Here is a 26,477-nt window from a genome sequence, read left to right on the forward strand (position 1 = left end):
TCAATCTACCCCAAAACAAAAACTTGAGATGCACACTATTTGCAATTGAATTATATGTAATTGAAGTGTTTGTATATACTACAAGTAGGTTTGACAAATATGAGAAAAAAGCATGTAAAATTCCTACCTTGCGTTTGTTTCTTGTTCACTGCATTATCAGCTTTATGTCGTTTCTAAAGTTTAAAAGCAAAAAGAACAACTGTGAAAATGTGAATAAGATTACTAAAACAAGAGAGCACTCATACCAAAAAAGATTTAGCTTATGTTTCTCAAGGTTTTTATCATTTCTCATTCATGTCAATGTTAAAGTATACATTGATGGAGGAGTGGTGATGGGAAGAATTAGAGCACACCTAGGAATTTTAAAACTGAAAGAACAATTCCCAGTATCTCCATAGAGTGCTCCTCTTCTGAGAGCATAAGTTTGTGGTCCTCACAAGGATCTTACCTCGGCACATAGGTAGGATTAAAATTTTAATGTACTAGAAAAGTATGAAAGGTTGATTTAGTATTTTGCTTTAATAACTCACTTCAAAAAGGAGATTGCCTGAGAGAATTATCTATAATAACTACTGTTTAATAATAGTATTGAAATATTTTCAGCTTACGAAATTTGTTACCGAATTAAGCTGAGCACATCCTCTATAATTTAATGATATGCTGATGTCGGCCAATGACTTGAACCAACGATGTCTACCACTGGCATACAGTCTCCCCTGTTCAATGCTCCCCAGCATTCCCTCCTCCCACCACTTGCAACCGAAAGCCATTGAATTACATAATCTTATCATATCTTCCTTCCTCCCAAGAGCACCTACAAAATTACACAATAAGCAAGTGAGTTAGTCTAAGTCTAGGTAGGTTTGAAGAGTTGCATAAGCCAAGGTTTTATAGCAGTGGGTAAGAAGAAGAAACAGAAGGTCAGAGGAAAGGTGAGAATCTGAGTGCCCAGGAAAGCTATTTTCTCTCCGGTTCACCTAGAGGTTTTCCATGGCTTCCATCTAAATTTACAGCATCGAGTGTAACTCATCAGACTCCATTAACACTGCAGAAGAGCGGTGAGTGTAACTAACTCTGTTCGCTCAAAGATTGTATCATACAAAGCCTGAAGTTGAATATAGTTGTGCGTACCTGACTATAATATGGGTTGGAACAAATGTAAAACAAATGAGTTCCTAAGTTTTCCATTTGAGAAAAAATACAGTTTTCAGAATCACAGTGTGCATATGAAAACACTGCAAGAGAAAAATCTAGAAGTGTGGATTAGCACTCCAGGACATGGCAACACCCAAGAGGAATAGATAAGAGCTGGCAGCATACACTCAGTCTGTGGAAACAATCAGCTACTGAACTGCACAAAATGCAAACAAAACATTCAAAATGCCTCTGCGAAAGAATTGTTGAGAATGATTCTTCCCACACAGACATGCAGGAACACAATCAGAACTCCTTTTCAGTATAAAATACTCACTAATAAAAGTGTATTAATGTAGACTTTCAATAGGCATATTATTGCTTCCAAAAGCAAGCACAGTTTGCCAAAAAAGATTCTTAAATGTTTAAAGTTCTGTTAAATTTGTAGCATCAGTAGAGATTTTGTAGTTACAGAACTTTGAAAATATTCTTTTTGCTTGTTAGTAGAGATTAGAAGAAAATTAGAAAGTGATCCAAAACAAATTTTCATCAAAAATAACAGTCCAAGGTAAATTTAGATATTCAAAGGAGGCACAAATGTTTCCAAAATACGAGACAATGGTTAGATTTCCAACTAAAGGAGATAAATAAAAGCTAATTAATGAAACATTCCACTTCAAAGAGGAAATTTAATCTTAGTGAAACCCAAGGCGATCTTAAACATCACTTTCCATCTACAGCGAACTCTTGCACAAGAGCATCTCTTTCCTCTATCTTCCCATCACAGAATTAGGTTACTTGTCATGAAACAAGTGTGTTGAATATATTAAGAATCTATCTCAATAGGCAGATTTTAATCCCATGCCTACAAAAAGAAAGCATCTAACTTTTGTGTCTTGATAAGATTATTCCTTCTAAAACTAATAGTTCATAAAAAATTAAGCTATTCTCTGAGTTCAAATACCTCAACTGTGTCATAATCCAAATTCATTTACTATCACTGAGGGCTAATGAATTATTTAATATCATCAGTATTAGATTGACAGCACACGAATAAACTGTATTGTATAAACAGTGTTATGAACTTCAGGATACATAGTATGCAATGCTGACCACTCCCTCCTTCTGGAAACTCTTCCCTCCCTAGGTATTTCTTATCACATCATTGCCAGGTTTGCCATCTGCACCTTGACCCTTGTCTCCTCTGCCTACTTGCTATTCAGCAATGGTATTGCTCAAGGCTTACTCCCTGGCCCTCCTCACTTCTAACTCCATATTCTCTTCTTACAACTCTTTCATACCTGCAGTTTCAATTATAACCAGTACATAAATATATACCAGTCAAAACTCTCATCTGAGCTCCACGATTATATCTGGTTGCCTCTTTAACATCTCTCCGGCAATCTCAAAGGCATCTCAAACTGTTCACAAGGCAACCAGGGACCTTAATCTCCAAGACCTGGTACTTGTCTCAGACATGGAAACACATGCCATCCATTTACCCAAACCAGGAAATTCATTCTAATACCTTTGTCTCCCTCTCATTCCTATCCAAGCCATTCTTTCACTCAATAAATATTTACTAAACACTGACTATGTGCCAGGCCCTGTTACTGTTGCTGAGACTACAGTAACAAGTGACAAAACCCCTTCCTTGCATGGAGCTTACATTCCAGTGGTTGTGGATAGAATAGGGTATGTAGCCATGTTAGATAGTGGTAAGTCTTGTCAGTTTTACTCTTAAAAATGTACTAAATTCATTTTCTTACTTTTCACCATGTCTACCATACCTGCTGAGTCTAATATATCTTCATTTTTTTTACACTAACAACTAGAATATTCTTGTCTGCACAAATGCTCTGTTCTCCTTGCAATCCATTTTCTACTGTTAAGCCAAAAGGATCTCTAGATGATAATACAGTTAACATTTATTCATCACTTACTATATACCAGGCACTATTCTAAGGACTTCACGTCCATCATTTAATTCTCATTAATAGCCTAGTGTGATTTTTTTGTTTTTTTTTTGAGATGGAGTCTCATTCTGTCGTCCAGGCTGGAGTGCCGTAGTGGGATCTCGGCTCATTGCAACCTCTGCCTCCAGGGTTCAAGCCATTCTCACCAGTATGATTACTTGATTAGTGTCGATCTCTTCTATTGGATATAAGCTCCATCACGGCTAGTTTTACTCACTAACATAGTCTCAGTATTTGGTTCCTACGCATTGTAGGCTTTGAATAACTGTTTTATAACGAATGGAGTCTCCTAGTATTTAAATTAACAAGTTTATAGCAAAGAGGGAACATTTTTAGTGGTAAATATCAATTTAACAAATTTGATCTTTATCACAGGAACTAGCATTTAGCATAATACAGCTTTTTAGAAGAGAGTTCTCCATCAATTTTAGAGTATTTCCAAGTATGTGTGTTATTTGTTATTAACACATAAAAATAGAAAATCATAGTATGTTAAGTTATCTAAAGCATCAAGAGTTAAAATGCACTGGGGGTGGATAAGTCTTCAGTACCTTACCTGCAGGCAATTCTTACTATATTTTAATCTATCTATCTACACATATATATATATATATTTTAAAATTTTAAATCTATATATATAGAGAGATTTAAAAACATTATCTAATAGAATATAGGAAAGTTTACTAGATTGTAATCTCTGCTTTATTCACTGATGTATTAGTGGCAGCCATGACCAGTCTTCACCAATATCCAGCTCTCCACTTCCATGGACCCTGAGATAACACCTTCTCTTTGCCATGCCACTAGTTCTAATATTGAGCTATAAAGAGATGCGTGCTCCATTTCTGGGCCAAAACATAGAAGAACTGAGATTCCATCCCCTCTCCCCACCCTTGCTACAATAACCACCTATATTCCACAAAGCAGAATCTTGATTCAGGCTGAATCCCTGATGCCCACCATCACGTGTCTTTGAGTAAGTGAAAAATAAACTTATATATTAAGCCACTGACATATGAGACATGATTACCAGCACAGCAAAAGTTTAACACATCCTCATACATATCCTAATGAATGCCTGGCAGCTCAAGAGTTCTTCAAATGTTCTTGCTGAACGGATGAATGAAAAGATGTATTCATTATTCTCACTGATAAAGACAGCTCTTTGTCCAACTATCTAAATTGTTATTTGATTTGTCCCCCATTTTAGAGAGTATTCTTTCAAACTTTCTATCACTTTACAGTTTGGCATAAACTTCTTGCTAAACTACTCTTACAATTTCTAGTCAATTTCTTAACAGTGATTTCATTGGAAAACTACTTCATATGATACTATTATCTCACAATACTATTATTACATTCTTTAGGACTGCATGATTAGCAACTTTCTAATAGTACCTGATTATTATATTATGCCAAAAAGAGTTCTGTTAAAAAAAAACTTCTTGGATACAATTTTATTTGCCACGTACTTTCAAAGATGGAGTACTAGAAACCATAGCTAGAGAGATTATAGCTTTGCCAGGGAACAAAACAAAGCAAAACAAGACAGGGAAGGCAGTTTTGAGTAGTGATTATAAGGCAGGAGTCTGGAGCCAAAATGCCTTGTTTGGATTCTGACAGCCCCAGTGTGACTTTGGACAAGTTACCGTACCCCTCCTGCCTCCTCTTATCTGTAAAATAGGGATAAGATCAATAACATCTTCAAGGGTTGTTATAAGATTTAGTAAATGTAAAGGACATAGAGTAAGTACAACCTAGAAGCACAATAAATGTTGGTGACTCTTCACAATCATGCAGAGCCAAGAGCACTGGATAGGACGGAATTCTGATTCTATCACTTTCTTAGACAAGTTACATGACCTCTCTAAGCCTCAGCTTCCTTACCTTTAAAATTGGGTTAACATCCAACTTTCAATGTTATTGAAAAAATTAAACGAGAAAAACATTTGTGAAACACTAGCATGATGCCTAGTAAATTAAAGGTACTCAATGATAATTAGGCTAAACAAAGAAAAGGGAAGTCCAAAAGGCAAAGAAAGTGACAAAAGTGTAGTAAAGACCAATCCCTGTGGACTGCCAAGTCCTACCACAATTTAAAGGTTGGCAAGTCTATGTGGAGCAATGCAGGTAGGAGTCTCTTACACTTCTCAGCTAGTGTCTCCATCAAGTATGTCATTTCCAATCAAGAAGACTATGCTGTTTTATACACATGCACAACATCTGTTTCTACTCTTAAATACTTGGATGATTTTGAAACTGATGATCTAAATGTTCAATTGACCCATTCCTAACATGGCAAATGCCATCTTAATGAGATCCCAATTTGATCCTCTATAGAAAAAGTGTTAATGTTTGTATAACTTTAAATTGGAGCGTTCTAAATTTCTCACCATTTCCTGGCTTTACCATCTTACTTTCCTAAGGATTAACAGATTGTCCTCTCAGACTGGCAAACAACTATTTTAGAATAAAATACCTAGGAATACAGCTAACTAGGGAGGTGAAAGATCTCTACAAGGAAAACTACAAACCACTGCTCAATGAAATCAGAGATGACAAAACAAATGGAAAACATTCCATGCTGCTGGATAGAAGAATCAATATTGTAAAAATAGCCATACAGCTCAAAGCAATTTACAGATTCAATGCTATTCCCATTAAACTACCATTCTTTACAGAATGTCAATGAATAGTTTAAAATTTAACTATTTAAAAATTCATATGGAACCAAAAAGACAGCCCAAATAGCCAAGGCAATTCTAAGCAAAAAGAACAAAGCTGGAGGTATCAATTATGCTACCCAACTTCAAACTACACTACAGGGCTACAGTAACCACAATAACATGGTACTAGTAGGAGAACACACATAGACCAATGGAACAGAATAGAGAACCCAGAAATAAGACTGCACACCTACAACCATCTGATCTTCGACAAAGCTGACAAAAACAAGCAATGAAGAAAGGAGTCCCTATTCGATAAATAATGCTGGAATAACTGGTTAGCCATATGTAGAAGACTGAAACTACATCATATACAAAACTCATCTCAAGATGGATTAAAGACTTAAATGAAGGCTGGGCATGGTGGCTCACGCCTGTAATCCCAGCATTTTGGGAGGCCAAGGTGGGTGGATCACCTGAGGTCAGAAGTTCAAGACCAGCCTGGCCAACATGGCAAAACCCTGTCTCTACTAGGAAAAAAAAAAAAAAAATTAGCCGGGAATGGTGGTGGGAGCCTGTAATCCCAGCTACTCGGGAGGCTGAGGTGGGAGAATCGCTTGAACCCAGGAGGCAGAGGTTGCAGTGAGCCAAGATTGCGCCACTGCACTCCAGCCTGGGCAACAGAGTGATAATCCATCTCAAAAACAAAAAAAACAAACACAAAAAAAGACTTAAATATAAAACCCCAAACTATAAAAACCCTGGAAGAAAACCTAGGCACTACTATTCAGGACATAGGCATGGGCAAAGATTTCATGACAAAGATGCCAGAAGCAATTGCAACAAAAGCAAAAATTGACAAATTGGATCTAATTAAAGAGCTTTTGCACAGCAAAAAAGAAAAAAAAACAACAGAGTAAACAGACAACTTACAGAATGGGGGAAAACACTTGCAAACTATGCATCTGACAAAGGTCTAATATCCGGCATCTACAAGGAACTTAAATTTACAAGAAGAAAACAACCCCATTAAAAAGTGGGAAAAGGGCTGGGTGCAGTGGCTCACGCCTGTAATCCCAGCACTTTGGGAGGACGTGGCAGGTGGATTGCCTGAGGTCGGGAGTTCGAGACCAGCCTGACCAACATGAAGAAACCCTGTCAGTACTAATAATACAAAATTAGCTGGGCATGGTGGCGCATGCCTGTAATTCCAGCTACTCAGAAGGCTGAGGCAGGAGAATCGCTTGAACCTGGGAGGTGGAGGTTGCAGTGAGCCGAGATCGCACCACTGCACTCCAGCCTGGGTGATAAGAGCGAAACTCTGTCTCAAAAAAAAAAAAAAAGGTGGGCAAAGGACATGAATGGACACTTCTCAAAGGAAGACATACATGCGGCCAGCAAACGTTGAAAAAAAGCTCAACATCACCAATTATTAGAGAAATGCAAACCAAAACCACAATGAGATGCCATCTTATACCAGTCACAATGGCATTTATTAAAAAGTTAAAAAATAACAGATGCTGGCAAGGTTGTAGAGAAAAAGGAACATTTATACACTGTTGGTGGGAGTGTAAATTAGTTTTGACCATTGTGGAAGACAGTGTGGTGATTCCTCAAAGACCTAAAGACAAATACCACTTGACCCAGCAATCCCATTACTGGGTATATACCCAAAGGAATATAAATCATTCTATTATAAAGACATATGCATATGTATGTTCATTTCAGCCCTATTCACAATAGCAAAGACATGAAATCAACCTAAATGCCCATCAATGATAGACTGGATAAACAAAACGCGGTACATATACACCACGGAATACTATGCAGCCATAAAAAAGAACGAGATCATGTCCTTTGCAGGGACATGAATGGAGCTGGATGGAGGCCATTATCCTTAGCAAACTAACACAGGAACAGAAAACCAAATACCGTGTGTTCTCACTTGTAAATGGGAGTAAATGATGAGAACACACGGACACAGAGGGGAACACCACATACTGAGGCGCATTGGAGGGTGGAGGGTGGGAGGAGGGAGAGGATCAGGAAAAATAACTAAAAGTAACTAATAGATGCTCGGTTTAATGCCTGGGTGATGAAATAATCTGTACAATAAAACCCCATGACACACGTTTACCTATGTAACAACCCTGCACATGTACCCCTGAACTTAAAAGTCTCTCCTTCTCTCTCTCTATATATATATGAAGTAGTTTAAAAGAACAGGAAAAAAACCAAACCAAAACAAAACATTGGTTTCCTCAAGTAAGACAGTTAAAATAGATATAACAGAAAAAAGGCCTGAATTTATTTGGTAGAGTTAGTTTTATAAAGGAGAAAGAGACTTCCCCTTTCTCTTATTACCACAGAATAAAAATAGCTAATTTGGTTACTATTACTTTCTTTTAAAAAAATGAGATAAAGGAAAAAGAAACTTAGAACTATTAAATAAGGTGAGAAGAAATCCAAGGCATTTAATAAAATGAAATTTATAATTATTTAAATTAAAAAATAGAAAATACCAAAAAATATCACTTAGATAATTTGGAGGGTTTTTCATTTAATTGAAAATAATGTTCAAATGTACTTTTCTCCTCAAGCCAATTATTACAGTAAATTAATTTCTTTTATTTGCTAAACTATAAATGCAATAGAACACTGTAACAAACATTCAGCAATATTACAGAAAACAAAAATCAACTTCAGGGATAGGAACATATTCTAGACATTTTGAAGTTGAATGGATATTTTAAACAGCCCACGCCAAGAATTAAATAATTTAAGAAAAAACTAATATTTAAAGCATATATAAATAACAAAGTCACATACAATTATGAAAAAATAGAATACTTACAATATCTTCTATTATCTCTTTGATAGCTGCCACAGCTAAAATAAATAAGAGAGGAACCAGTGTTGTATAACGACCTGTTGGTGACACATCAGGTATTTGCTGTTTGGAAAAAAAAAAAAAAGAGAAATCCAATGAGAACTAGAAAATTTATAATAGATTCAAGAAAACAGTCTCAGTGCCTTCTAAAATATGCCTCACTGATTTTACTATCTTGGCCGACTAATGCTGAGTGAGGTAATGTGTTCGTATCTAATAAGTACTGGAAAAGCATGTTAATTAGTTTCACAGTAAGCAGTTGTATATAGGACTACAACCTCCATTGGAAGACTGGTTACATAAGTTACAGTATATCTATTCATTAAAATATAACTATTAAAATGATATTTTAGAAACACAATGAATAACTGGGAAAATATCCATACATTGTTATATGAATACAGCAGGTAACAAAACAATAGGTATTCTATGATCCCCTTTTTGTAAACGAAGTCAATAAACGATGCTTGGGAGGAAAAAAAAAAAAAAAAAGACCAGAAGGATATATACCCACAATTTAAGAGTAGTTGTCTCTGATGGTAGAATAATGAGAGTTTTAAATTTTTTTCCTTGTGTTTTGTGGTGTTTTAAAAATTTTTTATTTTCAAGTTCAATGAAAATATTTTTTCAAATTTAAGCATATGTTCAATATGCTACTTTTTAATAAACTAAAACTTTTTCTGACTACAACTAATTTAAATACAAAGAGAAGCACAAGATTTAACTTCTTGCATTCTAAGGTTCAGAGTTGATACTTTTACTATGAAAATTAGCATTTTAAGAAAACGTCCCATCCCCTTTACCACCCAAAATGAACAGTCCTTGCCACATCAAATTTATAGAACACCCAAAATAAGCTGATAAAAATGAATCAAAAGGCTGGAAAAGGTAGTGGATTCCAACACTGCTTGCAGCAGGAGCCAGAAATGTCCACCAAAACCAGCTTATCTCTCGGCATTTACATAAACCTCAGGGGATTGGTCACGGGCTTAACATTTATTAGTACCTGAACATTTGACAAGGTTTTATGACGTGACTTTACCTGCAGCAGTGCAATAAAGAGAAAAAATGAATTAGCAGCTCTTCTGAACTGAGAGTAGAGAAATCTTGGAAGGAATGTGATTATGTTGTATTTTGCAGTGCTAGAAAACAAAAATGAAAAGTAGCATAAAACTTCTCCATAATTAGCACCCACACTTACAAAGTTCTGTTACTAACATATAAAAAGTTAGATAAGGAACATTTGCCGGCTGTTTCAAATTGGGAGAATATTGCAAAGGGTCATTAACCTAAATGAAAAAGAGTGAAAAGGTTAAATAAATGGTAAAGCATGAATACCACAGATTTTTTTTTTTTTGCATAATCTTTTGTCCTATTTGGCCAATTATTCTGCTTAACATTACTAGAAGTAGCTTACAAAGAAGAGCAACTTTGGAGTTAAAGGGCTCCAGCCCTCCATAAGACAGAGTACAACGTGTGACTAGAAAATAAAATCTTGCCAAAAGAACCCCGAAATCAGCAATTTGAGCAATTTGACCAGACACTGTAAACAGAGATGCCTTTCCTGGATAATTTCAGGGAGATCTCTGGGGTTCTGTTTGAATTTTCTTCACTGCCACTCCAGGAACATGGCTAGAAATCCACACTAAACACACCAGATATGCCCACATCAGTAAGATATCACTACTTAGGTCTTAGAAACACCCAGATCTTCCTCTTGTTTATCAAATAGAAAGGAGATTAAAGCAGACACATGCCACATTACCCAAATTGAGAAATGTTCCTCTAGAATTTGAAATTGTACATATTAAGTGGGCACTTCTCAAATCTAGTTAACTCTGCCACTGGAGAAACACTTTATTGGTATTGAAGGTGTTTATGTGGTCCCAGAAGCCGCATAAGTGGCCAGTGCTTACACAGATACTTTTTACATTATTGTTGGAATGAAAACACAACAGTGCAGTGAAGTAATTCGCACAGCCCTCCATTCCTCCACACCATACTAAACTTCACAACTATCAAAAACCAATACTTAAAGACTATATAACCAGAAGGAATTCTTGGTGCAGAATTGCAAAGACCTCTTCTAAAATGTTAAAACTTGCTAACCAAAACCAGTAACGCATCGCTCTATTAACAGGTTTAGGACAGAGGCATTTACACATAAGCAGCTTTCATTATTCAATATCTATGCAGCATCGGCAGAGGATGGGTGCTTATTCTTTCTGCTCCTCGCTATTTCCAGATTCTTATGAATATTTCTCTATGGGAGAGAAGATGGGGAAACAGCCTATTCACACTGCCAACAGGGAGCTCTCAAATATTAACTGACTGCACTGAAAGCTCTTTGCAAGCATTTTCATTTTGACCTAACCAGCTCTGCTCTGCTGGCTGGTCTCATGGCATTCTTTGGTAGTTCTTACCTGACATGGTTATTGCAGAATTTTGTCAGCTGGGGCTGGTTGATGAAAATAGTCCTTACTTCCTCCTGGTCAGCCAGTGAGGTCTTCTCTGAAACATCATCTGTCTTCTCATAACCTTAAAAAGAGATCTTCTTATTGTACAAGAAATGTTTTATTGTCCAGACCAAAAACAGATTTCATAACTAGTCTAGAATATGAAATCTGTTAAAAGCTACTTGCTTCCCCTTAACTGTTGTTTCTTTTATAATAAAAAGTAACATCCCCATATTTAACATTTCTACTAGATTTAAAGGGCAGCATTTAACAGTCATGTAAAAACTGAGCCATATCAAAAACAAGACATAACATCAACTTTCCATTTCCCCCGTAAGTGTTCAACTTCTTTCCTTCCACTATATAAAAAGATGCCCAGAAGTAAACCTTAATTTTAAACTGGTTTAAATTACAGTTTTAGGTAAAACTAACAAGGTAATTTAAAATATAGTCAAAAATTAAAGCATATGCATTTAATACTTTTCTGGGTTTTTTCCCAGATGAAGACAGAAGAAAAGATAAATAGTAAGGTTTAAATAGAGAACTGCAACAATGATCCAACTCACTATCATCACCTATTTTTTTCTCCAGTTAGAATTCATGTTCACAAACGAACTTTAAATTTCTCAAGAGCACTTCAAGTCATCTCATAATCATTGAAACAACAGGATACATTCAACTGGGTACTTTGTTGCAATGTTGACAAACACTTTAAAAAATACATACAAGTTCTAGAACAGAATATCAACAGATAGTATTTTAAACAGCTTTTTGTGTCTTCTAGTGAAAAATCAAAGGGGTGACAACAGTACTGTATCTCCAAAACCCATTTTTCTTCTCTTTTCTGCCTAGCCAATGCCAACTCCTCCCATAAGACCTGCTGACATGTGGTTTCTTCTGAAGTGTTCTATGATGTTCAAGTTAGGTAAAACGTCTTTGGGTTTCCACAGCCCTCTGAACCTCCCCACTCTTCAGCAAAACACTTACCAGAAGGTTTTGTTGCTGCCTGAGTCAGGTTCCCCCTACCAGAATGGGAACTCCCTAGGGCCATAGAGGGTGTGTTATTCATCTTCTCAACACCAGTGCCAACAAACAGCAGGTACCCAATGTTTGCCGAATACATATACCCAATGAAAAATGAGTGGTTGACTGTTTTTTGGGGGCAAGAAAAGCTGCTCCACCCACTGATGAAAAAACAACTGTTGGCCAAGTGCTGGTAACAACTATGTGAAAAGCTGGCCTGTGGGGTTTGTTATAGTATGAAACCAGAAAATCACTGAGGTGTTCTACAAAGGTGAGAAGCATGAGCACAGGGACTGGGGTGTGAGAAACGGTGTCATGTGTGCAGGGGAGAGCAAACAGGGCAGTGCTGCTGGAGCACAGACAGAAGGCGGACGAGAAACCACGCTGAGGAAGCACGCAGGCCAGGTCCCAGAGGACCCTGCGCTCTGCTTGGCAGCCAACCACTGAAAGCTTTCCAAGTAGGAGGGGCACAGGGTGAGAGGCACATTGTATCCTTATCACCCTGGAGGTCACATGGCTCCGAGTAGATTCTGTCACACCCATTTTGCAGTTTCAGACCCAATCAGCAGCTTTGCTCACAGTGTTTCCCTACACCATGTTCTAAACACATACTTTTCCCTCTAGTTTTGTATAATTGAAATTTCACACATGGGTTATTGAATAGAGGGAGATCAATCTTTAAAAAAAATTGAGTCCTTTATTAGGTCTTCCTTCGTGGTAGCATGAAGACCAGAGTGTGCTGTTCCCCGCCTCTGGATTAGAGAGAGAGCCTCAAAAAAACCAGCTCTTCACTCCACTCTGAGCTGATGTTCTCAGGTTGTGTTGTATTTACTTTATATAATGGACTTTTGAGTGTTGTATCTACTTTATGTAATGGGACTTTTGAGGGCCCCGCCCTTGGATGTCCTTAGCTGAGGAACTGGGTGTTACTCCATCCAGACACACCTACTTACATTGAGGTCTCAAACGCTGCTGGGAGAGCACTGGATATTGCTATCCACTGAAAGCAATTGGATACTGCATCTCCCCCTCAGATATTAACTTGTATTCAAGAATTTCTGTGGGGCAAAGGATTTTCCTTGAACTAAAGGGACTGGAATTAACCCCATCCCTTATGTGGGAATCAGAGTAATTAAAACAATCCTAATGGATTAGTAGGGGCCCAACCTAGGTCAGATAATAAGGGATCTTTAAAGAGAAAACTCACCAAAATGAAGGGGAAAATCTAAACTGTAAACTGTTGCCAGGGGTAGGACCATCGAAGAGACTGGATGGCTCTGAGCACAGGATTTCACAGACAACATAGGCTTTCTTTACCCAGGCATTACAGAAAAGCTTTGGAAAGATATTGTACATGAAGCTGAATGTATGCAGAACGCTTCGCTCTGTTGTGCCCTGACCAGGTGTGATACTGAGGAAGGGAGATCTGCACTGAAAGCAGGGAGTGAGGCTCTCAGCCAGTGGAGCTGGTAGGCACCTCTCCCCTGTCTCCTCAGCAGTGACATGGAGAGCCATCAGGCACCTGAAGCCCACTCCCAGAATGTTTGAAGGCCAGAGATTGCAGGTATCACCTTCTGTTATGTATCCAATTCTGTTTACTCCTAGCAGGTGACAGCAAGCTAGCAGTAAACAGGCACAGCAACCTCAGAGGTTCTCAGAAATATCTCAGTGAACATACTTGACCTCAGAGATCCTCAGGAATATTCTGATGAAGGTACCTGGGAAAAAGACTAGCATTTTTGCTAATTTGGAAGTGAGAGTTTGTAACCATTATAATTAAACTCTTCAATGCAATCATCTTACATTGCAGAAATGGGCAACTTAGGTCTGGACTTAACGTAAGTAACCTGTCAATCCAGACTCTTTCCATGTAAAGAGAAACGGACTCTTCCATTTGATTAATGAACCAACACTTTGAGGAAGGTAGGTAGCAATTTTGATCTCACAGCTCTGGGTTAAAGGTGAAAACACATTTGCTACATTCAAAATTGAAAGTTATTCAATATGCACCAGATAATTCTATTTTATGATTTCATTTTTTTATTTCCTCTGCATATCACCACCTTCATCAGCTATAATAACCACATAAAGAGCTACATGTGCATACCTGGGCAATGCCTAAGCTGAGCTATTAGAATGGTGACAAAGGCAATCAAAATAGGAGAATCCTTTACCACCCTGCCCCAAAGAGGGTCAAACTAAGATGGTATTCCTTCTTATACATGGAGTTCTATTCCTCGTTTTAAGGAAGGAACCCATGTCCCTTGCTGTTTAATAATTTAGAGGGTTCGTTCACATAAGTCATTAAAATTTACTAGTAGCTTTTAATCCACCTGTCTGAACTCCTAAGGACTACTGAAAACTCTGACGCTTTTATGTCATCCCCTCACAGAAAGCAAGGGGAAGGCGAGTGCCGTTCTTGATCTGGTAACAGTTCTGAGTCTTCCTGGTAGGTCAGGCCTTCAGAAGCCTTCTTTGTCTGTAAAGTCATGCTAAAGGTGAACTTTACTGAGAGAAAGAAACGCATCTTAATCATGCTCTTTGGTATCTCTCTCAGCTTTTCCTAGCACAATCTTGTGCAAAGAGGACATACAATACTCACCTATTTAACGGAAATGGACTTCAAGACATTCAACAGACTGCTTCTGAGATCCACTCAGTGCCCCACCCATTTTCTCTGGGTTCAGACTGAACTCTGAAGCCCACCATGCAATGGGTTTGAACTCCGTATTAAGTATAGTCGAATGAACAGTATTTGGTAAATGGCAAAGCCAAGAATAAAACATGACCTTAGATAGTTACTTACTTTCACTAGGCTTCAGTTTCCTAATCTGTCAAAGAGAAGTATTCTGTGTTCATGTCCTGGAATAGTTGGTAGTAAATGAAGGAATATGTATGCAATGTACTTAAAACACCTAATATTGTAATAGATTACAATACATGTAATTTGTATTACAATAAATGTAATAGATATTGTAAATGTCTATTATACTTAAAGAGCTAACAGGGTGAATAATGATACAGTCATAGGCTGAGCCTCATAAAAATGGGAGGCGGCTTCTGGGTTAGAGGTTGAAGAATGTTTTGGGGTGGTAATTCTCTACCTTGTGGTGTAACTGACAATTCACCTGCTTCCCTTGTTACATGGTAAGTTACCTATTATACCTCTGGTTCATAGTAAGCCCTCAAAGCCTGATGAATTAACAAGTGAGCAAAACCAGATTAGTAATATACTAGAAACAGATCTCTTTCAAGTAGACATATGTTGCCCAAGCCTGTAGGACTGATGTCCAAACAACAATTAGTAAATTTATGATGAGAAGTAATTGCCACAGGAACTAGAGTAACTGAAGTTCCATAATCAATTCAACTCTCCCAGATTGGCCTGTGTAGAAGTTAAATGACCAAAGTAACCCACCCACCAGTGGTTAGGTGAACTGAGACTCTCATAGCATTAGGGAAGTACAGCCTGATGCAACCAATCCTGCTAAAGGGGTAGATGCATCTGTAGGACCAACCTCTTAAAAGTTTGTTGCAATATCTTGACAATGAGGCCATGATACTTCAAGTCTGTTGGCTAATGCTTCTATTCCCTTCTGCAGAGCTGAGAAGAGTGCTGATAATGTTTAACCCCATGACTTACCCCTTCCTTGACCATCTCCATACCCATTTCCACCTTCGAACACAAATTGATATTTAATCTTCCAATGGGATTACCAAATCCTGTAGGCCTAGGAACCAATCTAGCCCCCTTGCAGGTGACTTTGCTCCTGTATATGTTAGTCTTAGAAAGAAACGAGAAGGTATACTCAATTCGCAAATTTCCAAGTTGTTGGAGACATCTCAAAATGGCCCACAAGTACAGACACACAAAGTAAATGATGATAGTAACACCAGATATATGCGCCTTCCTCACATTTTCGATTCTCCAAGAGACTAACTCAGGCATTCACCCCAATGTCCTTGGTGCTCAGACATTTGACATCCACTAATGGCATTATTAGTCTTCTTAAATTAAGTTTCACAGAGCAAATTGGCAGGCAAATTCATACACCTATCACTTTGAGGAATGGAACTGAGCAAGGATCCTTTTCTATGTATGAAAGCACATTTGTATAGCAGCTTCTGGGAAATCTTAGCTTCTTTCAACATTGTGTTCTCCAAGGTCTGTAACTTCTTAAAAACGGTCAGAATCAAACCAGTTCCCAGAAAAATGAATCTGGTCTAGCTTTTATTGAAATGAGCAAGGAAAAGACTTTTCCTTATTTATGCCAAATAATGTCTGTAATATTCTGCTTGATTCCTATTCCCCCTGCCAGCAGAAAAGCAATTTTGTTTTCTGAATTGTGGTTTATCTCAAGCAATAATAAAATTATCCAGTATTTGCTATGCATATTTTAAACCAGAGACTCTAAGAGGCCAAATTTTGCATTCTTGGTCGTAAAATGGCCAAATGCTATTTCTAAACTTCAGAAGGACCAAGAATTTCAGTATAGGGAATAGTCACATGTAACTTTTAACTACTGAATATGTTAATAAGATTACTTTGTATTACCAAATAAAAATATACAAGCAACATCCTTCTGGTGACTATTTTAGCTTCCAGCAATAATTTTATTTGTCAAGAAAACAAAGGATGCTGGTGGGTCACTATCCTAATTATGACTCTGAAGTGAGCAAGTGCTCATCTTCCCCGAACAGTGTTTCATCACTTAACCCACTTAGGGGCTGTGAGGTGAGCTCAAGTTCTTCTACCAATTACCCACATGACCCTGCACAAACCACTTCATCCCTGGGGGTTATTCTCTTCCTTTGTAAAATGGGGAAGCCAGGCTAGGCTAATAATCTGACAGTTACTCTCAGCTCTAAAATTCTGTGAAATTAATATCTGCTGAGCAGCAGGCAGAAAAGAAATCAATAGTTTTGTTCAGAAGAGCAGGAAAATTCTGAAAAACAAAGTAAAAAAAATTTCCCTTCTTGAGCCTTTATTGAGATGTTTCACAGCAACAGTTGCCTTCCTTAATCTGCAGCCAAAACTCAGTCACGAAGTGAAATGGTGCTTTGTGATGGTAACTCAACATCCATATTTGAAAAGCTAAGCAGTGACTATAATCAGTTGCCAACAACTACCTGGCACCTACTGATCAGTGACTACTGGGTTGCTGAGAATGACGACACAGAGTCTTCCTTTCTTCATCTGCCCAGATTCATCATCACATGCTTATATGCACACAGTACAATGTAACAGAGGAAAATGCTCAATAGTATAAGTGAAAGGCTTCTGACCTGCTCATATGAGAGAAGTATCATTTCTGAAATATTCCATTTTTCATCCGAAATATCATGATCTAATAAGACCTGTTGTTCATTCATTTGCTTATTCATTCATTCAACATACTTAAGAATCTACTATGTTTTGGGCATTTTAAAAATGTTATAGAAATAGCAGGAAATAAGATAAGGTCCTCTTTCTCAGGGACTTATTTTCTAGAGAAGAAAAAGATAATTACAGAACATGGTAAGAATGAGGAAGAAAATAAACAAGTGATTGTAGAACAATTGACAGAAGTCTCTGTGCTTAAGTTTCATTATGCATATAATAGAACTAATAACAGTATCTTACCTCAAAGGGTGGTTGTAAGGACCCAGCGAGTAAATATGAGAACAATGCCTGGCACGTAGTAAGAGTTTAGTAATGAATGTGAGCTATTTTCATTGTTGTTGTTATCACTGCTAGTGATGCTACTATAGCTGCTGCTATTTTACACTGAATGGTCAGAGAAGACGTCTCAAGGAGATGCTGAGTTGAGACCTTGATGACACATAAAGGAAGATAAGGGACAGTTGTCAACCCAAAAGGGGGAATAGCAGGAAAAGCCCTGGAGGGGAGAATGAGCTTGGCATTTCCAGGAACATGAGGGCCACTAACAGTAAACAGAGCATAAAACAAAAAGAAGCAGGGCCAGATTGGGAGAATAACAGCCTGAATTTATATTCTTTATGCAGTAGGAATTCACTGACAGGTTTAAGTAGAAAGACCATTTCGAGGACACTGTGATAATCCAGGTAAAAGATGATGAGTCCTGGGTTAGACTGGTGACAGAGATGAAAGGAAGTGGATGCATACATTATACTCTGGAGGCAGAGCTGGCATGAGCCATATAACCTCTTCATGATTGCATGATGCTCCATAGTACTACTGCCTGGTGCTACTCCACGCAAAAGCCCAAGACATGAAAGAAATGTAGGATTTTTAAAAATCTGACCCATAATGTTTTATTTTGATCACATGCTAAATTTACAATATTTTGGATGTGTTGGGTTACATGTATTGTTCAAATTAATTTTGCCCATTACTTTATTGTAGGATTGTAAATACAACAAATAATTAACCACTTAATGAATAGAATTCTCTTTACAGCCAAACAACCCTAATCCTTAGATACCATGCATCCTTTTTCTCATTATTACATGGTAATCAATAATGTTTAAAATACAGAATATAATCAAGGAGGGCATTAAAGAATCATGCCTAAGAATGAGAGAGACTGTTTAGGTCTACCAGTTATGAGCTCTGGTTACTTTAGACAAGATAATTAACCTTTAGCTACCTACGCTCTTACAAGAGTTTGTGGGGATTACATGAAATAATGCATGTGTAAAGTGCCTGGCTCCTCATGCATATGCAAAAATTCTAGCTATTATTTTTATTATGAAATCAGAAAGGCATACTATGGGAGAAAATAAATAGGCTATGTAGTCAGATGTATGTTCAAATTCAGATTATAACACTTCTACATGGGCAAATTATTTTATCATCTGAGTCTCAGCTTCCTCATCCATAAAATATGGTTAATGTGAGGATGACATTATGTTAGCAATGTAGCACAATACTTGTCATTCAAACAGTTCCCGTCACCCTATCCTCCCCACAGATTAATCTCGCCTTCAAAATACTTGATACGGGAAAACTAAAAGTCTTAAAGACTGTAATGTAGGTATTAACATTTACTTATTTTGGATAATATTTATAGTTGTGACCAGTGTAAATCAATATAGACAGCAAAATAATAAATTTTGCCATATAATTTGGTCAATTAATATTGAGTACTTTTTTTTTTAACAAAATTGTCATCTGTATGGGGTTATGCAACAGAAATGCAGGGGTGGTAGGTAGGAGGGAGACAAGAACAAGATACAAAATCACTGTTGCCTGGTAATACGGTTATAGAACCACTAAGTTTTTTGCAGACTCAACTTTATTGCAATTATAAGTAAGGCTGTAATTGGAATCAGAATATCTATTATATTATTTCCTAAACATATTTAGGAGAGTGCAATTATATAACCTTTCACTCAATGGTTTCCAATATTAGGCATTAAAGGGACCATATTAGCTGCTCAAGTTTCTTGACTTAGGTTGGGGTCATTAAACAAGCAGTCATGCTTGCAACAGTCAAAGAATCTAATAAAAGAATATTAACAGGGAAACTAGACAGAGACTTTACAAGCACAACTGCAGAACTTAGGTGTGATTAAAGTTAGGTACTACTAAGATGGAATTATTAGCATTAACCACTATCCTTTTCAAAGGCTTAATAATTGAAAGTCCTGAATATATATATGCACACATATGTATTTGTATATATTGTTTTGATACAGAAGCTTAAGAATATATACATACACACATATATACATATATATACACACACACACACACACACACACACACATATATATATATATATATATATATATATACACATGTATGTATGTATGTAAGCTTCTTAAGCAGGTGCAGCAGCTCCTGGAAGCACATGAAAAGCTTACAGAAAGGTTGAGGAAGATCTAAGGCAGCTTGACTAATGGAATCAGTTCAAGATACCACAGATTCAGTCCTCTCTGTGTTCAGCCTTTTCATCTCTCCAGATGGCAAATTGACTGTGATTGGCTTAGCATGGGCCATGTGCTTACTTTTAAGTCAAAGAGGGGCATGGTAACTTGATGGAGCAGTCCCCTAAGACTATGGGGGAAGGGGGAGTTCTCCAAAGGAAAGCAATGGGCTTAATACACACACACACACACACACACACACACACACACACACGCACACACACACACATAAGCTTCTTAAGCTGGATCAAAACAATTCTTGGCTGAATAATTAAGATGTTTGTATTTACTTTGTTTTTAGTGGTATCTTAGTACAGATAGTTCATTTAATTATAAATGCAGAAGCAATTACTGCAGTGACAAAAGAGGCTTGAAATCCCATGTTCTGCATTGTTAGAGCAGAACAGTCACTTCAAATGTTCGATTGTGAGCCTGACAGCAGCTGTTCAGAGACGGGTAGGGGGAGAGAGAGAGAGAGAGCTCATGAAAAGAAGGAACCACTACTCTGGAAACAATAAACTGGGTGCTTCAAAGGTAAAGACTTACAAACCACATTTTCAAATATGGCACTGAAGAAATCAAACACCCTTAAAAGCATGGAAATTAAAATGGAAACTATTTAGCAATACCTCTCAAATTTCTAGATCATGACAACAGTAGCCAGAGGAAAAATGGAATTTTCAGTTGCATTAATACACCATCCCTGTACCGAGTGTTAATGCAGACTCTGTGCAGTGGACAATCTGCTCTTTCCAGCTCGGCATCTGCTTCTCCTGGAAACAGCCCATTGCTTTCCTTTGGAGAACCCCTCCCCCAGAGTCTTAGGGGACTGCTCCATCAAGGCTCCATGCTCCTCATTGACTTAAAAGTCAGCACACAGTCCAGGCTAAGCCAGTCAGTCAATTTGCCATCTGGAGAGATGAAAAGGCTGAACACAGACAGGAATGAATCTGTGGTATTAGTCAAGCTGCCTTAGATCCTCCTCAACCTTTCTCTAAGCGTTTCATGTGATTCCAGGAGCTACTCCACCCGCTTAAAGGATATGCTCAGCCTATATATTATGGAGTCTTGACAGAATCATTTCAGTCCTCTGTTGGAAGCCAAGTCCTGTCCCAACACCCATCTAATGTAGGTGGGCAGTGATGCCCTACCCAGACTGGCTAGCCTTCTACAAGAAGCTAAGCCCTGTTCCCTGTACCTCAACCGCTAGCTGGCTTTTCTGATCAACATGGAATGATGACCTGGAACCACAGTGCAATTTTCCTGCTTAAGAATAAGCAGGCTACCTGGAACCTTCCCCAACAGGCCCTACTTGCTGGATCAGATCTCTTCTGATGTTAACAGCTGCCCTAAACAAGCTCTGAGTCCAGCACGTTCTGGGACAACTGTGGATTGCAACTCTAAGGAACTTGCACAATAGCCAAACGGTTTTCCACATCCCTACCTTCTTCTCCATCACCCTCTTGTTCATGCAACTGTGATGCTAGCTCATTACCTCCAAGTCCATCTGAGTTATAACAAACATTACATACCCTTGATCATGTAAAACATGGTTATCTCCTTCAACAATTGATAGCTTTTCATTATACAAAAGGGTTCACTTTTTAAAAGAGTTCTAAAAATGAAGATTAGGAGACATCACTTGTCATATGGAGACTTGCTCAAGGTTAGAGAGTCACTGAGCACCAAAGGCAAGACAACATTTGGAAACTGATAAAGTCCAACCCATATCTAAAGCTCTGACACTGATAGATAGATTCATGCATTCATTCAACAATTAAATTTGACCTCACCTCTCCCTTTAACTCTGTCCTTTGCTGGTCTATTACACCTCAACAGTATTTCCAGTTCAGACATTTCTCTACCCCTTCAGCCTTGTTGGATGCTACTTAAGTGTCAAAATACTCTCCTTGGCCATTCTTCTTTGAAGGGATACCTACAAAAGTTTTGAATATATTGTCTATGTAAAAGACCATCATACATCTGACACTAATCTTTTGAGCTATATGCTTAGTTCAATAATAATAAATGCTATGCATGCTTATGTACAGAGGATGGGACAGGCACAAGGGTATGGGTAAGTATCTATTAAGTATGCTACTCTAATATGGGGAAGTAACATGAATGACCCTTCAGGAAAGTCCCTTCTGTGCACTAAATGTTTGCTAAATTTTCTATTTCAATATAAGGCATCCAAAAATTCCCAGAAATTTATAGTCTTGTCTCTATCCTAATAACCACTAATATATTTTGTCATCAGGACCTGTCATTAGGAGACATGGTAAATGACATGTTTCTTTAAGTGCCTTTGAGGGAATTGATTTAAAAATAAACAAGTGTAAAACACACCACAGCAGTTATTGTCTAAAAAAGGAAAAAAAGTAATGGCTTAACATTTCTTGAACTCACGCTAAATTGCGACAAGCCCCTGAAGTAGCACTACAAATTCTAAGTGGTGGATTCTAAAGAGTACTCCTGACATTCAGAAGAAAGGATATCCTTAAGCAGTATTACAAGGAAATCTATAGTATGCCTAGAGTTGGGCGTCACACATAGTAAACAGTCAATCTTGTTGGCAGCCAGCCTTGGATATTAACCTAAAATAATAGTCATCTTCGGCATGCTGAATTGCTTGGAAATAATAAAACATTTACTAACGCCATTTCATGCTTAACTGGAAAAGGAACCAGAACAATGAAAGACAGAAGGAATTTAATGACATCTCCTTGGGAATAACCCACAGATAACTTTATCTGACAGAAGAATTAAATAGTATATTTGCCAACATAGATGTTTAAAAATTGACACAGAAGCAGACTGCACCAGAAACGAGGGGTTGCAACCACCAGACATCTACCAAGCATCTCCTAGAAGTCTCAATTAGCTTAAAGCACCACTGACTTGCAGTGGCATTAAGTTCACCTCTAAAAATGCACAGGAAACAAGGCAGACTGACACTACGGACTGGATTCTAATCCAAGCAAAAGTGGTAAAGTAGTAATGATACTCTTCAAAAAATAACTGTATCAAAGAGTTTTTGACTGTCAAAGGGGAATACCAGGCCATGTCAGATATGTATTCTGGATTTCAGGAGGGCACATTTCAATTTATTATCAAGACCCACAAAGTGCAGAAGCCCCAACAGCTGTCCAAACCCACATGCTGAGTAATTGTGGAAGGCCCTGACAAGGCGGGGAGGTGGTCAGGGAGGGTTGAAGGAGTTGTATTTAGAGACCACTGCTGCTTCACAGGAAGTACTTGAACAAGCACAAGATTAAAAAAAGATCACAGGAAAGGTTGAAAATAGATAGGTTCACATGTTCAACAGTGAATATTAACAGATGCACAGACATCTGAGACTGGAGGAAAGGTGTTGTAAAAAACGTTAGAGACCACTCGATTTTTCCCCCTTTCATCTGGGACACAAAGAATTGATGAGATGAGCCTGCTGCCTAGAATAGATGATACAATGTTGTTAACAGATAATAAAAGGCAGAACTTCTCAGCTCCAACATCTACTTTGCTTCAATCGTCTATCAAGGATAATCATCTTAAGACTGGAAAGGTTAGAATGAACATTAGTTCGAAGAACTAAACCAAAAGACAAGGTAGGGGATTATTTTAAGAGGGAAAAAAAGAAAAATCAGCACCTAACTGCTCTAAATGAATTCCTAGCCTATAGTAAATACATATATGTATGTGTAGGTATATATAATTATTTTCTAACCTACAGAACTGTGAGAACCTGCAAAATAGTTAAGTGAACTGTTACTAATCAGAGAAGAACTATGGTGAATGAGAGAGGAACTAAAAGATGAAGACAATTTAGTCATCGTTCAGTATGCATGGGGGATTGGTTCCAAGACCCCTTACCAAATCTGCAGATGCTCAATTACCTTATATAAAGTGATGTAGTATTTCAAATAACCTACACACATCCTCTTGTATATTTTAAATCATCTCTCGATTACTTATAATACCTAACACAATGCCTACACGTCATTTGCATGGATTCAACATAGTACTTGGTGTGTGGCAAATTGAAGTTTTGCTTTTTGAAACTCTATGGAATTTTTTCTGAATACTTTTGATCCATGATTGGCTGAATCCATGGACGTGAAACTCAGGGATAAGGAGGGCCACCTGCACTCTCCCAGTGTTCTAAAAAGAAGATGGATCATAAAGATCATAAACCACTGTTTTTTAAAATGGGAGTCTACAGATGTGCTTTCAAAGTTCACAGATTTACAAAATGAGATCCACTGCTTCTAAAGGATTTTTGGGAAAGATCTGAAAATTCAGAAGTTAAAAGAACATTTCTGAGAATTCAGTTAAACATGGAACTGAGCTTAATTATTTTGAAAGCAGTGTTTCTCATACAAAGAATATATTCTCAAAGACCAAAAAGAAATGTTTCCTCTAAAAAAGGTCCTTTACATTAGATAAGTCTGAATAATAATGCTATTGGCCAATGAGTTTGAGGCCAATGCTAGTCAAACATTAAGTGCAGCTGATTAACAGACTGCTTAAAAGGGAGGTGGTGACTGGTGGGGATCAGTAAGCCTCCACTGACTAAATCCCTTTTCTTTCTTTTCAAAAATAGAACCCTCAGCATCTGGATTTCAAGAAGGCTTTTGTGTAGGCCCTATTGTTATAAATGAAGACACACGATTCCATGATTATGAAACAATGTGGATTCACAACTATGTAGCTGACAAACATACATGGAGGGGTCTCACATACTAAAGCTATTCTTTGGCCATCCCTGCCTGTGAGCCCTTCTGAAAGAGCCTCCCCTGGGTCACCCTTGGACTCGGTCTCTCCTTCCATCTCCTGGCCTGGCCTAGTACCTGAGCCCTAGGTGTCAGGGTCAACATGGAGCACCTGACCAGCCAGGCCAGTCAGATCCCTTTTAGAGAATGTGGATTTGTGGTCAGTCAACTCAGCACCAAGTAAGGAACATCACGGACAGGTGGGCTGGAGGGAGCATCATGGCACTCTGAAGCCACATGCATGCCAAAGTTAGGAAGTGAAGGAGCAGACGTACAGAGACTTCCCCCTCACCAGAAAAAAAAAAAAAAAAAAGAACAATGAACCTCTGCTGTGATACAAGAGGATCCCTTACAGTAAATGCCTAACTTGGTAAGGGCTCTGGGTGCAGACTGCCTGGGTTCCAATGACAGGATAAGGACACATGACACGATTAATCAATGTACAGATGACATGAAAAAAATCAGAATTCTAGAAGATTTTGAAAGGCTGAATAAGTTGAAGGTTCTATACTAAAGGCCTAAAGAAGCAACTGTGTAAATACAATATGGGAGACACCTGACCCAGCAAGGCATGTAGAGCATAAATGTTTTTACTGCTTTTATTGCTTTCTTATCAAGAAAAAATCTGAGGTGTCTGAGAATGGAATGGGCTGTCTTAAAAGGGTGTGTGTGGGTGTGTTCCCTTCACTGTGAGGTATTCAAGCCATATCAGTTACTGTGTTGCATTAAATGACTTCTAAGTTCCCTTCCAACTCTAGAATCCAAGGATTCTATCCTTTTAAATTTCTTTTTTTTTTTTAAGACAACTATAAGCTTATTGAGAGAACCACTGATACAGTGCAGGGCGCAAGTTTTCCGCATTTTGTACATGGAAAAGAGTATTATTAAATTAGTTACTACAAATGCTTGTAGGATAGTTAACCCCATTGACTTCAGTAGCAGTGTGTTCATAGGAAGATAGAACTGAATTACAGCTCTGAATGAGCTAGGCCTTAAAAAGTACTGGGGAAAAAAATGAATGAACAATGATGAAAGTTATCTGAATCATTACAACTTTAACTTTTAGAGCTATTTACACATTTTATAACATACAAACAGGTAGATATATGATTAGTTCCAACAGACTAGTCCTCGTTTTATTACAAGAAGCAGAAACACCCAAATAACATCATTATGCTGCTACATTAATCTCAGAATGAGTCAGTGGAGTTTAACTGGCACCTGCTTCTTATCTCCATTGTGACTTTGCAAGAGAGGAAAACAACTCACCTTTGTTTTTTTTTTTAAACAAAGTCTCAATCATCAAAAACATCCAGTGAAGAAACTAAAGTCTTCCTGCCCATTACAACTTTGGTAGGGACATCAGTATAGCACACACAGCAACATACACTGTCCACAAACAAGACAAGTGTTTTATCCTACAGAAACAGACATTACCCAGGATAAGGAAAGTGTGACACTCTCATCTGCCTGTTGATAACACAATGCCACAACCAGGTTTGCCAAATATCCAACAAATCCATTAAACAAAGCTAGAAAAAGAGGAAACCCACAAAAGAGCATCCAAGAACTCCAGCACACCCTAACGAGACTCTGAGAATGGGTGTGGCTCTGGGATGGCTCATCTACCACAAGCACTGTGGGCAGTACTGAAGAACCCACTAAGA

General features: G+C 37.9%; 1 protein-coding gene across 12 annotated transcripts in view, besides 5 other annotated features; it reads right to left on the reverse strand.

The window, feature by feature from the left end:
* ATP8A1 (ATPase phospholipid transporting 8A1) overlaps positions 1-26,477 on the reverse strand; it is a 248,733-nt gene that overhangs the window by 207,533 nt on the left and 14,723 nt on the right. For 11 of the 12 annotated variants that reach the window (NM_001400027.1, NM_001400026.1, XM_047449508.1 and 8 more), the window contains exons 2-5: positions 11,090-11,204; positions 9,709-9,808; positions 8,631-8,729; positions 128-173 (exon numbers count right to left, since the gene is read on the reverse strand). Coding sequence is in view for 10 of the 12 variants with exons in the window: in NM_001400026.1 (NP_001386955.1) it covers positions 128-173; positions 8,631-8,729; positions 9,709-9,808; positions 11,090-11,204 (360 nt within the window). In the remaining 2 variants the exon portion in view is untranslated. Of the gene's footprint in view, positions 1-127; positions 174-8,630; positions 8,730-9,708; positions 9,809-11,089; positions 11,205-26,477 lie in introns of those variants that run through there. The other variant, XM_047449509.1, reaches the window with a different exon arrangement.
* Positions 11,063-11,112: a silencer, noted in NCBI's record as "silent region_15395". NCBI's record gives its function as "represses an Ori minimal core promoter by ATAC-STARR-seq in GM12878 lymphoblastoid cells {active_cell/tissue: GM12878}" and the evidence as "EXISTENCE:reporter gene assay evidence [ECO:0000049][PMID:35858748]".
* Positions 20,381-20,430: an enhancer, noted in NCBI's record as "active region_21518". NCBI's record gives its function as "activates an Ori minimal core promoter by ATAC-STARR-seq in GM12878 lymphoblastoid cells {active_cell/tissue: GM12878}" and the evidence as "EXISTENCE:reporter gene assay evidence [ECO:0000049][PMID:35858748]".
* Positions 23,006-23,055: an enhancer, noted in NCBI's record as "active region_21519". NCBI's record gives its function as "activates an Ori minimal core promoter by ATAC-STARR-seq in GM12878 lymphoblastoid cells {active_cell/tissue: GM12878}" and the evidence as "EXISTENCE:reporter gene assay evidence [ECO:0000049][PMID:35858748]".
* Positions 23,286-23,405: an enhancer, noted in NCBI's record as "active region_21520". NCBI's record gives its function as "activates an Ori minimal core promoter by ATAC-STARR-seq in GM12878 lymphoblastoid cells {active_cell/tissue: GM12878}" and the evidence as "EXISTENCE:reporter gene assay evidence [ECO:0000049][PMID:35858748]".
* Positions 26,072-26,121: an enhancer, noted in NCBI's record as "active region_21521". NCBI's record gives its function as "activates an Ori minimal core promoter by ATAC-STARR-seq in GM12878 lymphoblastoid cells {active_cell/tissue: GM12878}" and the evidence as "EXISTENCE:reporter gene assay evidence [ECO:0000049][PMID:35858748]".

This window comes from Homo sapiens, chromosome 4 (assembly GCF_000001405.40).
Source record: "Homo sapiens chromosome 4, GRCh38.p14 Primary Assembly".
Classification (NCBI taxonomy): Eukaryota; Metazoa; Chordata; class Mammalia; order Primates; family Hominidae; genus Homo; species Homo sapiens.